At 41.1% G+C, this 14,922-nt stretch overlaps 1 annotated feature.

The window, feature by feature from the left end:
• Window positions 12,183-12,790: an enhancer, noted in NCBI's record as "NANOG-H3K27ac-H3K4me1 hESC enhancer chr7:34214913-34215520 (GRCh37/hg19 assembly coordinates)". NCBI's record gives its function as "activates a minimal SCP1, AML or CMV promoter by ChIP-STARR-seq in naive H9 embryonic stem cells {active_cell/tissue: H9 hESC(naive)}" and the evidence as "EXISTENCE:reporter gene assay evidence [ECO:0000049][PMID:30033119]".

Consider the following 14,922-nt stretch of genomic DNA (forward strand, 5'->3'; position numbering starts at 1 on the left):
AAATCTAGGCTCAGGCTGGTGGCAGAGGTTGGAGGCTGTCAGAGAGCTAAGAGGCCTCCTGGGGACATGGCACTTGGCCTCCTTGCCTCCCCCAATTGCCTCCCATTTCACTTTTCTTTTCTCCTCCCCTAAAACCTCAGGGGGGATCTTAACAAAGGGAAAAGACTCCCAACAGACCATGTTTCTCTGCAGGGGTGGCCATGCTGACTTTCGACAAGCCTTCATTCTAATGTGGCTGCTCATCTGCTCTGAGGACATCACATCTACTGGAGCTAGAAACAAATGAAAATAGCGTGGAAAAGCTGCCATCACAAGACAGGTCATCACAAGACTGCTGTTTGCTCTTTCCACTGTTCATTGCATCCTCTTCAGGGTCAAGAAGAAGTCACCTGCCAAGGGAACAGTAGGAGATGGAGATGCATTGTATTGGTGGAGCTGTGAAGGTGGAGGTGCCTGGTACACCTTGACACAGTGACCTTGGAAGACAAGTAGCCTGGTCTCTTTTGCATATTGTGTTCTGAGTTCCAGATTCAAGTACTTCCAACTGCTTCCTTGTCATCTCCACTTGGTGATGGAATGAGCAGTCCAAACTTTCATATACTCAATGATAAACTCTTGACACTGTTTGGGTTTTAAGTTTATTTTTGGAAGGGGACCCAGGGAACAATAGTGAGGGACTAGGAAGAGTAAAATGGAAAGAGGAAAATCCATTCCAAGGAACTATGGTAGAGCTGGTTACTGCTGTGGATACCTGGGGGCTTAGTTCCAATGGGTGTTCTTTTAAAAGATACACACGTTGAGCCTCAGAATTATCCACCTGCTCTAAACCCTCATTGGTCAAAAACTGCCCCTGAGGTGTTAACTTCCTTGGTCTTCCAGGCTTACACAGGGACCTGAATGGCTGAGTGAGCTTCTGGAAGAGTCCCATGGAAAGGCTAAGAAACTCTGGGGCAAAAGGCAAGAAATGCAAGGTGCAGCTGAGGCCACGGTGCTGCCAGGCTTCACCCACTGCAGCTTGTTGCCACAGCAACTGCTGGAACAAAAAGGTGGGTGGTGAGGATGTGAGAGGGTGCAATACCTGGGAGTCATCCTTGACTCTGCACTTTCTCTTTACCACTCATCAGTAACTTCTATTGACTCTGCTGATAGGTCTCCCACTTCATCCTTGTTTCCCTTCTCTTTCCCCCACTACACATCCATGCATATGCACATGCAGCAGCTAGACTAAACCTTTAAAAACTCATGTTTTTTCTCCTCTCAAACCCCAATGGCCACTCATCTCACTCAGAATAAAATCTAAAATCCTGTCCAGGATCTAGAAAACTTGCATGTTTTGGACCTTTGCTCCCTTTTTGCTATGGTTTCAATGTCTTTGCCTCCTCCAAGATTCATGTTGAAACTTAATCCCCAAGACAACAGTATTAAGTGATGTGGCCTTTAGGAAGTGATTCGGCCATAAGGGCTCCAACCTCATGAATGTATTTGTGCCCCATGAAAGGGCATTGAGGGGGTGAGTTTGCCCCTTCTGTCTCTTTTCGCATGTGAGGACATAGCATTCATGCTTCCAGAGGATGCAGTGTTCAAGGTACCATCCTGGAGGCAGAGACTGGGTCCTCAGCAAACATCGAACTGCTGATGCCTTGATCTTGGACTTTCCAGCCTCCAGAGCTGTGAGAAGTAAATATTTGTTATTTATAAATTACCCAGGCTCAGCTCTGTTATAGTAACACAAGCAGAGTTTCTGATCTCATCTTATGCTTCTTTTCCTCTCTCTCTCTCTTCTCCAGCAACTCTGGCCTCTTTGCTGTCTTCAGATTGCCAGGCATATTTCAAGATCTTTGCATTTGCTATTCCCTCTTCCCAGAATGTGATTCCTTCAGATAGTCATATGGTTCAGCCCCTCATCTCATTCAAGTCTCTGCCAGATCTCACCTCATCTAGAAGTTCTTTTCCGATCATCGTATCTAAAATAGTACATTTTCATCCATCCATCCATTTCCTTTCCCTTATTTCTCTTCCTATCTAAAATATTATAGATGTATTCGTTTGCTTTTGTCCTCTTTTCTCTCATCTGAATGTTAGTTTGCGACAGCGGGGGTTTTGTTTACTGACATATCTCCAGCGCCTAGAATAGTGCTTAGCATACAGGGCAAGACTCTACTCAACAAGAATCTGCCAGAGGGCAGGGTCACACATCAATCTAATCAGATACTCTTTTGTGAATACACAGAGAAGATGTCAGTGGAAGAGCAGATGGTCCCAGAGCTTGGCGTGTATCCTGAAGGATTCTGTGCTCTTGATCTTGTCCTCCATTCTTCACATTTTGCAGTGCAGGGGCCAAGATGTCAGCATGGCTAAGAAGATGGCAGTCATGGCCACCTCAAGTCCAGGTATCCCCAGCTAAAGCCCAAACACCACCTAGGGGGACCTGAGAATATGTGCCTCTTTCTCTTTACTCCAAGACTGACTAATAGAGCCATGGTGTCTATGAAAGCATTTTGGAGAGCTCCAGTGACTAGGCTTCTCTTGGCACAAATATGCAATTTCTCCTGGGGAGACAGCACATGTGCTTTTCTGTAACTGGAGTACATTTCAATCTAATAGAGAACAGGAATATAATCCAGTACTAATTTTAGATGCCGGATTCTTGTACAGAGCCACACTTTCAGGAAGGGAAAGAGGAAAGGCAAGTAGGTGTATTGGCATTGGGTTGGGGAAGCAATTACAGAGGAATTTTAGGACCTGCTTAAAAACACTAACACTTTCTGAACCAAGGTAGTGGTCTGCCCTAGGGATGGGAAAATATGGTCTATGGGCCAAATCTGGCTGACTGCCTTTTTTTTTTTAAAGAAAAAATAATAATATTTTATAGGAACACAGCCATGCTCATTTCTTACAAATTGTCTAGGACTGCTTTTGTACTGCAAGGACAGAGGTGAGTAGTTGTTATGGACATAGTATGGCCTTACATGTTTACTATCTGGACCTTTACAGAAAGAGAGTTTACTGACCCCTGGTGGAAAAAGCCATGTACTGGGAAACTGATTGATCTGGATTTTGATTCTGCTATGTAATCTGGTATGAGCACCTGGTCTACTCTCAGCCTCAGCTTTTTAACCTTTAATATGGTGCATAATTTGGGTTAATTTACATAAATCCATGCTCATTTAAAAGTTTCTAGCTTAAAGAAAAGACTCAATACAAACTGGCTAAACAACAATAACAGACAAAATAAATGGACATGCCTTGGGAATTTACTGTGTACTCTGTCAATTGCACAGAGTTATTGTGACAATAAAATGAAATCACAACTGGGAAAATCCTGAAACCCTGAAATTCTCTCCCAGTGACCACTGAAGCGAAAGCCCAAACTAGACCTCTGCCGTATGCACGCAGCTGTACTTGGGCATCAGGGGAGAGGCAATGGTTCCACAGGTGGCCCTTCCCTGACTTGGGAAATTCAAGTAGAGTTTAGAACTGCCCTTACCATACCTTCCATACTTGAAAGGAAGGCTAGGGAGAGATTTGTTAAAGAATACAAAGTTACAGTTAGACAGAAGCCCTGGTGTTCCATACCACTATAGGATGACTCTAGCTAATATTAACATATTATGTAGTTTCAAATAGCTAGAAGGAGGATATTGACTATTCCCAACACAAACAAATGACAAATGTTTGAGATGATAGTTAATTACCATAATATCATTACTATACATTACATGTATCAAAACACCATTATGCACCCCATGAATGTGTACAATCATTATGTGTCAATTTTTAAAAATCATAAAAAAGATAATAAAATCAGAAAAAAAAGTTAAAAAAAGAGGGAGTTTTTAGATTATTCCAAATCATAGAGGTAACATGGAGGAAAATAAAAATAAGTGGGTTAGGGGCTGTGGGGGGCATCTGAAGCCCATTTGTCTTCCTGGTGCAAGTGTCCTCAGGGACTGGCCTCTTAAGATGTGTTTGCTGTTATTGTTCAGCTACGCCCGTCCTTTTTCTATATCTAAGACTTCAAGGATTCCTCATTTTATTTTGTTTTTTTGTTCTGCTTTTCCTGCTGAAAGCATCCCTGCCTACTCTTGGTGGTATCAGCGAGGTTCCTGCAGCCAGGGCCAAGAACATGGGATTCAGAGAAAACTGCCTTTATACTCCAGGATGTCTGTTAACATTGAGTGTGACCTTGAACAAGTTGCTTAATCTTTTTGAACCCCTGTTTCATTGACTATAAAATGAAGACAATTCATCCTCATTAAATCGTTGTGAGAATTTTAATGAGATTGGATATTTTCCCCCACCACTCCCTTCTCCGCCCTTTATAAAAATAGATGGACCACTTACAAATTAGATGTTTTAAAGTCTGAGGCAGCCTCTCTTGTCATTTCCAAGAGATGAAACTTGGCAGGCTAAGTGCCTGATTTTTAAAACTACTTTGCTAATATATATATATATATATTATATATATATATATATATAATATATATAAAATATATATATATATAATACACACACACACACACACACACACACACACACACACACACACACACTATGGGGGAGTTTGTCACTCACTTCTTTTAAAACAAGCTCCCACAGGTCTAAGAATGTTTAAAACAGAAATGTATTTAAATGCAGACACAGATCACAGAAGGACAAATCCTCGTGGACAGTCAGGTGAAAGACTATTTAATCAAAGAGCATATAGTCTGGAATCCCTAGATGTCCTGGGTTTTCTCTCCCTTCCACTTTTGGGACAAAGACCTGTGCCAGGAGAATCACAGGGAAACCAAAATTCCCTACCTGAGTAAATTTAAAATTCCAGATACAGAAATGCATCATTTTTTGTTTGCCAAATATCATTTTTACCTCAAAGACTGTGGCCATAGGGCTATGATCTGAAACCTCTGATAGGGCATGGTCGTTCTTTGGGTCATAATATGTACATCACCCATTTGGGGGTCCCTTGTCCCTTACTAGCAAGCAAATTGAGGGTTAGAGAGGTGGAGTGCACTGCTCAAATATATGCAGCTATAATAATCCCATAATCCCCATGTGTCGTGGGAGGGACCCAGTGGGAGGTAAGTGAATCATGGGGGCGGGTTTCTCCCACGCTGTTCTTGTGATAGTGAATAAGTCTCAGCAGAGCTGATGGTTTTATAAAGGCGAGTTCCCCTGCACACGCTCTCTTCCCTGCCGCCATGTAAAACGTGACTTTGCTCCTCCTTTGCCTTCCACCAAGATTGTGAGGCCTCTCCAGCCATGTGGAACTGTGAGTCCATTAAATCTTTTTTTCGGTATAAATTACCCAGTCTCGGGTATGTCTTTAGTAGCAGCATGAGAACTGACTAATACAACAGAGTAAAACAACTTCTTTATAGTCACATAAACTCCCTTCCCCTACATCCTTAACCCCTGGAAACCACTGATGCACTTTCCATTTCTTTAGTTTTATCATTTAAGAATATTATATAAATGACACAGACTATTCATATTAACATTTTAACAGTTCAAGCAAAGTATAGAAACCTGGCCCTCATTTAAGTCCCTTTGCTTTCCCCCATTTATAATTATCTTAAATATTTTTTCGGCACACTTGGAGAAACACATTAGACGATATTATAATTTTCCTTTCAACTATCAAGCACAATTTCCTTCTCCAAGTGAAGGAAATTCTATGATACTTAGTTACATTTAGTCTTTCCATTGGTTTTTCTTCCTTCCTGATGTTCTAAGATTCCTTTTTTTCTGCCATTCTAAGACAAATTTTCTTAGTGTTGTTTTCATCTGAAAATGTCTTGATTTCTTCTTAATTCCTGAAGGATTTTTTCCACCTGGAAATAGAATTTAGGGTTGATAGATTTTTGTGTGCATTTTTGTTTGTTTGCTTGCTTTTTCATCATTTGAAAAATGTGCCACTCCCTCCAGGTCTCCATGGTTTCTGATGTGAAATATGTTGTCATCCAAATTGCTTTCCCATGTAGGGATTATGTCACTTCTTACTTTCTGCTCTGCAGAATGTTCCTTGGTCTTTTATTTTCAGAAGCTTGGCTAGAATATGTCTTTGTGTAGATTTACTTGGACTATGCCGCTTGAGATTCGCACAACTTCTTAAATCTGGGTCTATATAATTTGCCTTGGGAAATTTTAGTCATTATTTTTCTGCACCTTTTTTGGCCCCACTCTTTCTCCTCTCCTTCCAGGACAATGATGCTGTGAAAGTTAAATATTTTGTTATAATGTCACAGGTCCCTGAAGCCATGTTCATGGTTTCCTCAGTCTATTTTTTTCTGTTTTTCAGATTGGGTCATTTTCATTGTTCTATCTTAAAGGTTATTGATTTTTTTCTTATGTTCTGTTCATCTGCTATTGATTCCACCTTTTGGTTCTTGTTAAATTTTGTTATTGTATTTTGCAGTTATAAAATTTCCATTTAAGTTTTCTTTATATCTTCTTTTTTTTTAATTATACTTTAAGTTTTAGGGTACATGTGCACATTGTGCAGGTTAGTTACATATGTACACATGTGCCATGCTGGTGCGCTGCACCCACTAACTTGTCATCTAGCATTAGGTATATCTCCCAGTGCTATCCCTCCCCCCGCCCCCCACCCCACAACAGTCCCCAGAGCGTGATATTCCCCTTCCTGTGTCCATGTGATCTCATTGTTCAATTCCCACCTATGAGTGAGAATATGCGGTGTTTGGTTTTTTGTTCTTGCGATAGTTTACTGAGAATGATGATTTCCAATTTCATCCATGTCCCTACAAAGGACATGAACTCATCCTTTTTTATGGCTGCATAGTATTCCATGGTGTATATGTGCCACATTTTCTTAATCCAGTCTATCATTGTTGGACATTTGGGTTGGTTCCAAGTCTTTGCTATTGTGAATAATGCCGCAATAAACATACGTGTGCATGTGTCTTTATAGCGCATGATTTATAGTCCTTTGGGTATATACCCAGTAATGGGATTGCTGGGTCAAATGGTATTTCTAGTTCTAGATCCCTGAGGAATCGCCACACTGACTTCCACAATGGTTGAACTAGTTTACAGTCCCACCAACAGTGTAAAAGTGTTCCTATTTCTCCACATCCTCTCCAGCACCTGTTGTTTCCTGACTTTTTAATGATTGCCATTCTAACTGGTGTGAGATGGTATCTCATTGTGGTTTTGATTTGCATTTCTCTGATGGCCAGTGATGATGAGCATTTTTTCATGTGTTTTTTGGCTGCATAAATGTCTTCTTTTGAGAAGTGTCTGTTCTTGTCCTTCGCCCACTTTTTGATGGGGTTGTTTGTTTTTTTCTTGTAAATTTGTTGAGTTAATTGTAGATTCTGGATATTAGCCCTTTGTCAGATGAGTAGGTTGCGAAAATTTTCTCCCATTTTGTAGGTTGCCTGTTCACTCTGATTGTAGTTTCTTTTGCTGTACAGAAGCTCTTTAGTTTAATTAGATCCCATTTGTCAATTTTGTCTTTTGTTGCCATTGCTTTTGGTGTTTTAGACATGAAGTCCTTGCCCATGCCTATGTCCTGAATGGTATTGCCTAGGTTTTCTTCTAGGGTTTTTATGGTTTTAGGTTTAACGTTTAAATCTTTAATCCATCTTGAATTGATTTTTGTATAAGGTGTAAGGAAGGGATCCAGTTTCAGCTTTCTACATATGGCTAGCCAGTTTTCCCAGCACCATTTATTAAATAGGGAATCCTTTCCCCATTGCTTGTTTTTCTCAGGTTTGTCAAAGATCAGATAGTTGTAGATATGCGGCGTTATTTCTGAGGGCTCTGTTCTGTTCCATTGATCTATATCTCTGTTTTGGTACCAGTACCATGCTGTTTTGGTTACTGTAGCCTTGTAGTATAGTTTGAAGTCAGGTAGCGTGATGCCTCCAGCTTTGTTCTTTTGGTTTAGGATTGACTTGGCGATGTGGGCTCTTTTTTGGTTCCATATGAACTTTAAAGTAGTTTTTTCCAATCTGTGAAGAAAGGCATTGGTAGCTTGATGGGGATGGCATTGAATCTGTAAATTACCTTGGGCAGTATGGCCATTTTCACGATATTGATTCTTCCTACCCATGAGCATGGAATGTTCTTCCATTTGTTTGTATCCTCTTTTATTTCCTTGAGCAGTGGTTTGTAGTTCTCCTTGAAGAGGTCCTTCGCATCCCTTGTAAGTTGGATTCCTAGGTATTTTATTCTCTTTGAAGCAATTGTGAATGGGAGTTCACTCATGATTTGGCTCTCTGTTTGTCTGTTGTTGGTGTATAAGAATGCTTGTGATTTTTGTACATTGATTTTGTACCCTGAGACTTTGCTGAAGTTGCTTATCAGCTTAAGGAGATTTTGGGCTGAGACAATGGGGTTTTCTAGATATACAATCATGTCATCTGCAAACAGGGACAATTTGACTTCCTCTTTTCCTAATTGAATACCCTTTATTTCCTTCTCCTGCCTAATTGCGCTGGCCAGAACTTCCAACACTATGTTGAATAGGAGTGGTGAGAGAGGGCATCCCTGTCTTGTGCCAGTTTTCAAAGGGAATGCTTCCAGTTTTTGCCCATTCAGTATGATATTGGCTGTGGGTTTGTCATAGATAGCTCTTATTATTTTGAAATACGTCCCATCAATACCTAATTTATTGAGAGTTTTTAGGATGAAAGGTTGTTGAATTTTGTCAAAGGCCTTTTCTGCATCTATTGAGATAATCATGTGGTTTTTGTCTTTGGCTCTGTTTATATGCTGGATTACATTTACTGATTTGCGTATATTGAACCAGCCTTGCATCCCAGGGATGAAGCCCACTTGATCATGGTGGATAAGCTTTTTGATGTGCTGCTGGATTCGGTTTGCCAGTATTTTATTGAGGATTTTTGCATCAATGTTCGTCAAGGTTATTGGTCTAAAATTCTCTTTTTTGGTTGTGTCTCTGCCCGGCTTTGGTATCAGAATGATGCTGGCCTCATAAAATGAGTTAGGGAGGATTCCCTCTTTTTCTATTGATTGGAATAGTTTCAGAAGGAATGGTACCAGTTCCTCCTTGTACCTTGTGGATCCTTGTGAATCCATCTGGTCCTGGACTCTTTTTGGTTGGTAAACTATTGATTATTGCCACAATTTCAGCTCCTGTTATTGGTCTATTCAGAGATTCAACTTCTTCCTGGTTTAGTCTTGGGAGAGTGTATGTGTCGAGGAATTTATCGATTTCTTCTAGATTTTCTAGTTTATTTGCGTAGAGGTGTTTGTAGTATTCTCTGATGATAGTTTGTATTTCTCTGGGATCAGTGGTGATATCCCCTTTATCATTTTTTATTGTGTCTATTTGATTCTTCTCTCTTTTTTTCTTTATTAGTCTTGCTAGCGGTCTATCAATTTTGTTGATCCTTTCAAAAAACCAGATCCTGGATTCATTGATTTTTTGAAGGGTTTTTGTGTCTCTATTTCCTTCAGTTCTGCTCTGATTTTAGTTATTTCTTGCCTTCTGCTAGCTTTTGAATGTGTTTGCTCTTGCTTTTCTAGTTCTTTTAATTGTGATGTTAGGGTGTCAATTTTGGATCTTTCCTGCTTTCTCTTGTGGGCATGTAGTGCTATAAATTTTCCTCTACACACTACTTTGAATGCATCCCAGAGATTCTGGTATGTTGTGTCTTTGTTCTCGTCGGTTTCAAAGAACATCTTTATTTCTGCCTTCATTTCGTTATGTACCCAGTAGTCATTCAGGAGCAGGTTGTTCAATTTCCATGTAGTTGAGTGGTTTTGAGTGAGATTCTTAATCCTGAGTTCTAGTTTGATTGCACTGTGGTCTGAGAGATAGTTTGTTATAATTTCTGTTCTTTTACATTTGCTGAGGAGAGCTTTACTTCGAAGTATGTGGTCAATTTTGGAATAGGTGTGGTGTGGTGCTGAAAAAAAAGTATATTCTGTTGATTTGGGGTGGAGAGTTCTGTAGATGTCTATTAGGTCCGCTTGGTGCAGAGCTGAGTTCAATTCCTGGGTATCCTTGTTGACTTTCTGTCTCGTTGATCTGTCTAATGTTGACAGTGGGGTGTTAAAGTCTCCCATTATTAATGTGTGGGAGTCTAAGTCTCTTTGTAGGTCACTCAGGACTTGCTTTATGAATCTGGGTGCTCCTGTATTGGGTGCATATATATTTAGGATAGTTAGCTCTTCCTGTTGAACTGATCCCTTTACCATTATGTAATGGCCTTCTTTGTCTCTTTTGATCTTTGTTGGTTTAAAGTCTGTTTTATCAGAGACTAGGATTGCAACCCCTGCCTTTTTTTGTTTTCCTTTGGCTTGGTAGATCTTCCCCCATCCTTTTATTTTGAGCCTATGTGTGTCTCTGCACGTGAGATGGGTTTCCTGAATACAGCACACTGATGGGTCTTGACTCTTTATCCAATTTGCCAGTCTGTGTCTTTTAATTGGAGCATTTAGTCCATTTACATTTAAAGTTAATATAGTTATGTGTGAATTTGATCCTGTCATTATGATGTTAGCTGGTGATTTTGCTCGTTAGTTGATGCAGTTTCTTCCTAGTCTCGATGGTCTTTACATTTTGGCATGATTTTGCAGCGGCTGGTACCGGTTGTTCCTTTCCATGTTTAGCGCTTCCTTCAGGAGTTCTTTTAGGGCAGGCCTGGTGGTGACAAAATCTCTCAGCATTTGCTTGTCTGTAAAGTATTTTATTTCTCCTTCTCTTATGAAGCTTAGTTTGGCTGGATATGAAATTCTGGGTTGAAAATTCTTTTCTTTAAGAATGTTGAATATTGGCCCCCACTCTCTTCTGGCTTGTAGGGTTTCTGCCGAGAGATCCGCTGTTAGTCTGATGGGCTTCCCTTTGAGGGTAACCCAACCTTTCTCTCTGGCTGCCCTTAACATTTTTTCCTTCATTTTAACTTTGGTGAATCTGACAATTATGTGTCTTGGAGTTGCTCTTCTCGAGGAGTATCTTTGTGGCGTTCTCTGTATTTCCTGAATCTGAATGTTGGCCTGCCTTGCTAGATTGGGGAAGTTCTCCTGGATAATATCCTGCAGAGTGTTTTCCAAGTTGGTTCCATTCTCCCCATCACTTTCAGGTACACCAATCAGACGTAGATTTGGTCTTTTCACATAGTCCCATATTTCTTGGAGGCTTTGCTGATTTCTTTTTATTCTTTTTTCTCTAAACTTTCCTTCTCGCTTGATTTCATTCATTTCATCTTCCATTGCTGATACCCTTTCTTCCAGTTGATCACATCGGCTCCTGAGGCTTCTGCATTCTTCACGTAGTTCTTGAGCCTTGGTTTTCAGCTCCATCAGCTCCTTTAAGCACTTCTCTGTATTGGTTATTCTAGTTATACATTCTTCTAAATTTTTTTCAAAGTTTTCAACCTCTTTGCCTTTGGTTTGAATGTCCTCCCGTAGCTCAGAGTAATTTGATCGTTTGAAGCCTTCTTCTCTCAGCTCGTCAAAGTCATTCTCCATCCAGCTTTGTTCCGTTGCTGGTGAGGAACTGCGTTCCTTTGGAGGAGGAGAGGTGCTCTGCGTTTTAGAGTTTCCAGTTTTTCTGTTCTGTTTTTTCCCCATCTTTGTGGTTTTATCTACTTTTGGTCTTTGATGATGGTGATGTACAGATGGGTTTTCGGTGTGGATGTCCTTTCTGTTTGTTAGTTTTCCTTCTAACAGACAGGACCCTCAGCTGCAGGTCTGTTGCAATACCCTGCCGTGTGAGGTGTCAGTGTGCTCCTGCTGGGGGTGCCTCCCAGTTAGGCTGCTCGGGGGTCAGGGGTCAGAGGCCCACTTGAGGAGGAAGTCTGCCCGTTCTCAGATCTCCAGCTGCATGCTGGGAGAACCACTGCTCTCTTCCAAGCTGTCAGACAGGGACATTTAAGTCTGCAGAGGTTACTGCTGTCTTTTTGTTTGTCTGTGCCCTGCCCCCAGAGGTGGAGCCTACAGAGGCAGGCAGGCCTCCTTGAGCTGTGGCGGGCTCCACCCAGTTCGAGCTTCCCGGCTGCTTTGTTTACCTAAGCAAGCCTGGGCAATGGCGGGCGCCCCTCCCCCAGCCTCGCTGCCGCCTTGCAGTGTGATCTCAGACTGCTGTGCTAGCAATCAGCGAGACACCGTGGGCGTAGGACCCTCTGAGCCAGGTGTGGGATATAATCTTGTGGTGCGCCGTTTTTAAAGCCGGTCTGAAAAGCGCAATATTCGGGTGGGAGTGACCCGATTTTCCAGGTGAGTCCGTCACCCCTCTCTTTGACTCGGAAAGGGAACTCCCTGACCCCTTGCGCTTCCCAGGTGAGGCAATGCCTCACCCTGCTTTGGCTTGCGCACGGTGCACGCACCCACTGGCCTGCGCCCACTGTCTGGCACACCCTAGTGAGATGAACCAGATACCTCAGACGGAAATGCAGAAATCACCCATCTTCTGCGTCACTCACGCTGGGAGCTGTAGACCGGAGCTGTTCCTATTTGGCCATCTTCGGTTCTTGATTTCTCTTTATATCTTCTATTCCTTTGCTAAGGTTTTGTAGTTTTTCTTTTGTTTCAAACGTGTTCTTAATTGCTCATTGAAGAATTTTTATGATGCATGTTTAAAAATATTTGTCAAATAATTCCAACATCAGTGCCATCTCAGTTGGTATCTGTTGATTGTCTTTTCTCATTTACTCAAGATTTTCCTGGTTCTTGATATGATGAGTGACTGAGTAATTTTCAGCTATATCCTGGAAATTTTGGGTGTTATTTTATGAGACTCTTATTTAAACTTCCTGTTTTAGCTGGTCTATGAATTTGCTAGTGCTGCCATAACAAAACAACACAACCTGGGTGCTATGGTATTCTACTTTATTTTCTCACAGTTCTGGAGGCTAGAAGTCCAAGATCATGGTGCTGGCAGGGGTGGTTTTCACTGAGGTCTCTCCTTGGCTTGCAGATGACTGCTTTCTTGCTGCCTTTTCACGTGGTAGTCCCTCTGTATATGTGTACCCCTGATGTCTATGTGTGTCCATAATATCTTTTTCTTATGAAGACACGAGTCAGATTGGATAGAGGCACACCCAAATAGCTTCATTGTCACCTAATTACCTCTTAAAAAGCCCTATTGCCAAATATAGTCACGTTCTGAGTTTCTGGGGGTTAGGGCTTTAACATATGAATTAAGAGAGCCACAATTCAGTTCATAAAGAGCTGTCTTCTTCTAACACTGCACTGGTAAAGGAAGTAGAAATGCCTCCTTGTTACTGGAGGTGGAGAAGTGCATGTTTCCCACCCAGCCTCCACTGACACCCTTATGGGGGTATCTTATTTCTACTGCTGGGCAGGAGTAGAAGTTAAGGCTCCCCTCTAGGCCTCTGCTGACACCACTCTGATGAGAGGGGACACCTGGTTACTGTTTCTCCCATGGCCTCCACTGACTTTCATCAGGGAGGTGCTCCCTATTACCACTGATGGGGAGGAAAGTCCTAGTTCCCTACCCAACCTTCTCTGATGCCACCCTAGCAGAAGACTCGGGCACATGTTACAGCACATGGTGATTGTAGAAGTCTAGGCTCCTGGTTGGTCTTTGCAGATGGAATGGAGGTGGGCCCCATCTTGTTTTCATGGTGTCTTCCTAGAATAGGGCAGTTATTGTCTAAACATTTTTTGTCTTGTTGTTCCTTTCTTGGTCTAGGCTAGAGAAATAATGCATTTCTTGGAGCTTTTTTGTCTATACTCTGTGGTGTTTTTGTCTTGCTAATTTCTCTAGTTTCTCCAGCTCCCAGCCTAGGATATAGTGGGCAAAAAAGAGGGGGGGAAAAAAAAAGCCAGGGAACTAACCATTGTGCCATTCCTTGAATCCCAAGGACCCCAGCCAGTCTGCCTTCCTACAGTCACATTTTAGAGTTTTCTTTTGTTTTACATATGATACCCAGCCCTTCTAGTACTTTAACAGTTCTATTTTTTAATGTTTAATCCATCTGGAAGCTATTGTAGTTCATGGTGCTGCTGAACCACTACTTTGACAAATGTCAAATCAACTTATCCAGGACCATAAAAAACCCTTTTACATGTTGGTTTCAATTGAACCCTTTTGCATGTTGGTTTCAATTGCACAGTATTTTGTAGATCTGTTTAAAGAGTAATCCTATTTTTATTTTAAAGAGTAACCCTGTTTTTATACAAGAGAATACTGAGTCTAAGCACTGAATATCAGTGTTGTACATGCAGTATCTCATTTAGTCTTCTCAATAACCCTGTGCAATAACATTTTCATTTTGCTAGCAAGAACATTTATAACCTTGCCTATGGCCACGTATTAATTAGCAACTGAGTTGGGGTCATAATTTAAGTGTTCTAACTTCTACTCAATTTTTCTTTCCTTATGTGTACAGAAGCCAAAACACTTTTTCTCCTAGGATTAAAGATTGTTTAGAATCTGCTAAAATTAGACAAACAAAGCACTGTTACTGTATATCTATCACCAGAAACACGGCAATGATTTAGAGAGATATGTTTTCAATATCCTTCTTTGTAATATATTTGTTACAGTGAGATATTTTTAATAACTTGCCAGCTCCCGTCCCATGGGAGGAAAAAAACAGCAAGCATGAACAACTCACATCATGGAAATAAAAACAAAGAGGCATTTTAAATAACAGCCCGGATATCATTAAAATGTTTTTCCTTTATTACATAGCATTATAATTGCCTTAAATGGTTATGGTTCAAAGGAGAAGAAAAATATGCCCCTTTCTTGCTATATGAAGTCCCCCACTCAACTTCCCTTTGAGAATCACCTTTCTAAGGTTAAGTGAATGGAACCTAAAGGAGAGATTAGATGAAGAAAAGAATCAAAGTACTTCTGAAATAGTGCAAACCATCATTTCCATGCATGCTGGAGGAGGAGCAATTTGGAAATGGGGGAACATGGGCTGAATATCCCACAACCCATGACAGTAGTTG

Source organism: Homo sapiens, chromosome 7, assembly GCF_000001405.40.
Source record: "Homo sapiens chromosome 7, GRCh38.p14 Primary Assembly".
NCBI classification, from domain to species: Eukaryota; Metazoa; Chordata; class Mammalia; order Primates; family Hominidae; genus Homo; species Homo sapiens.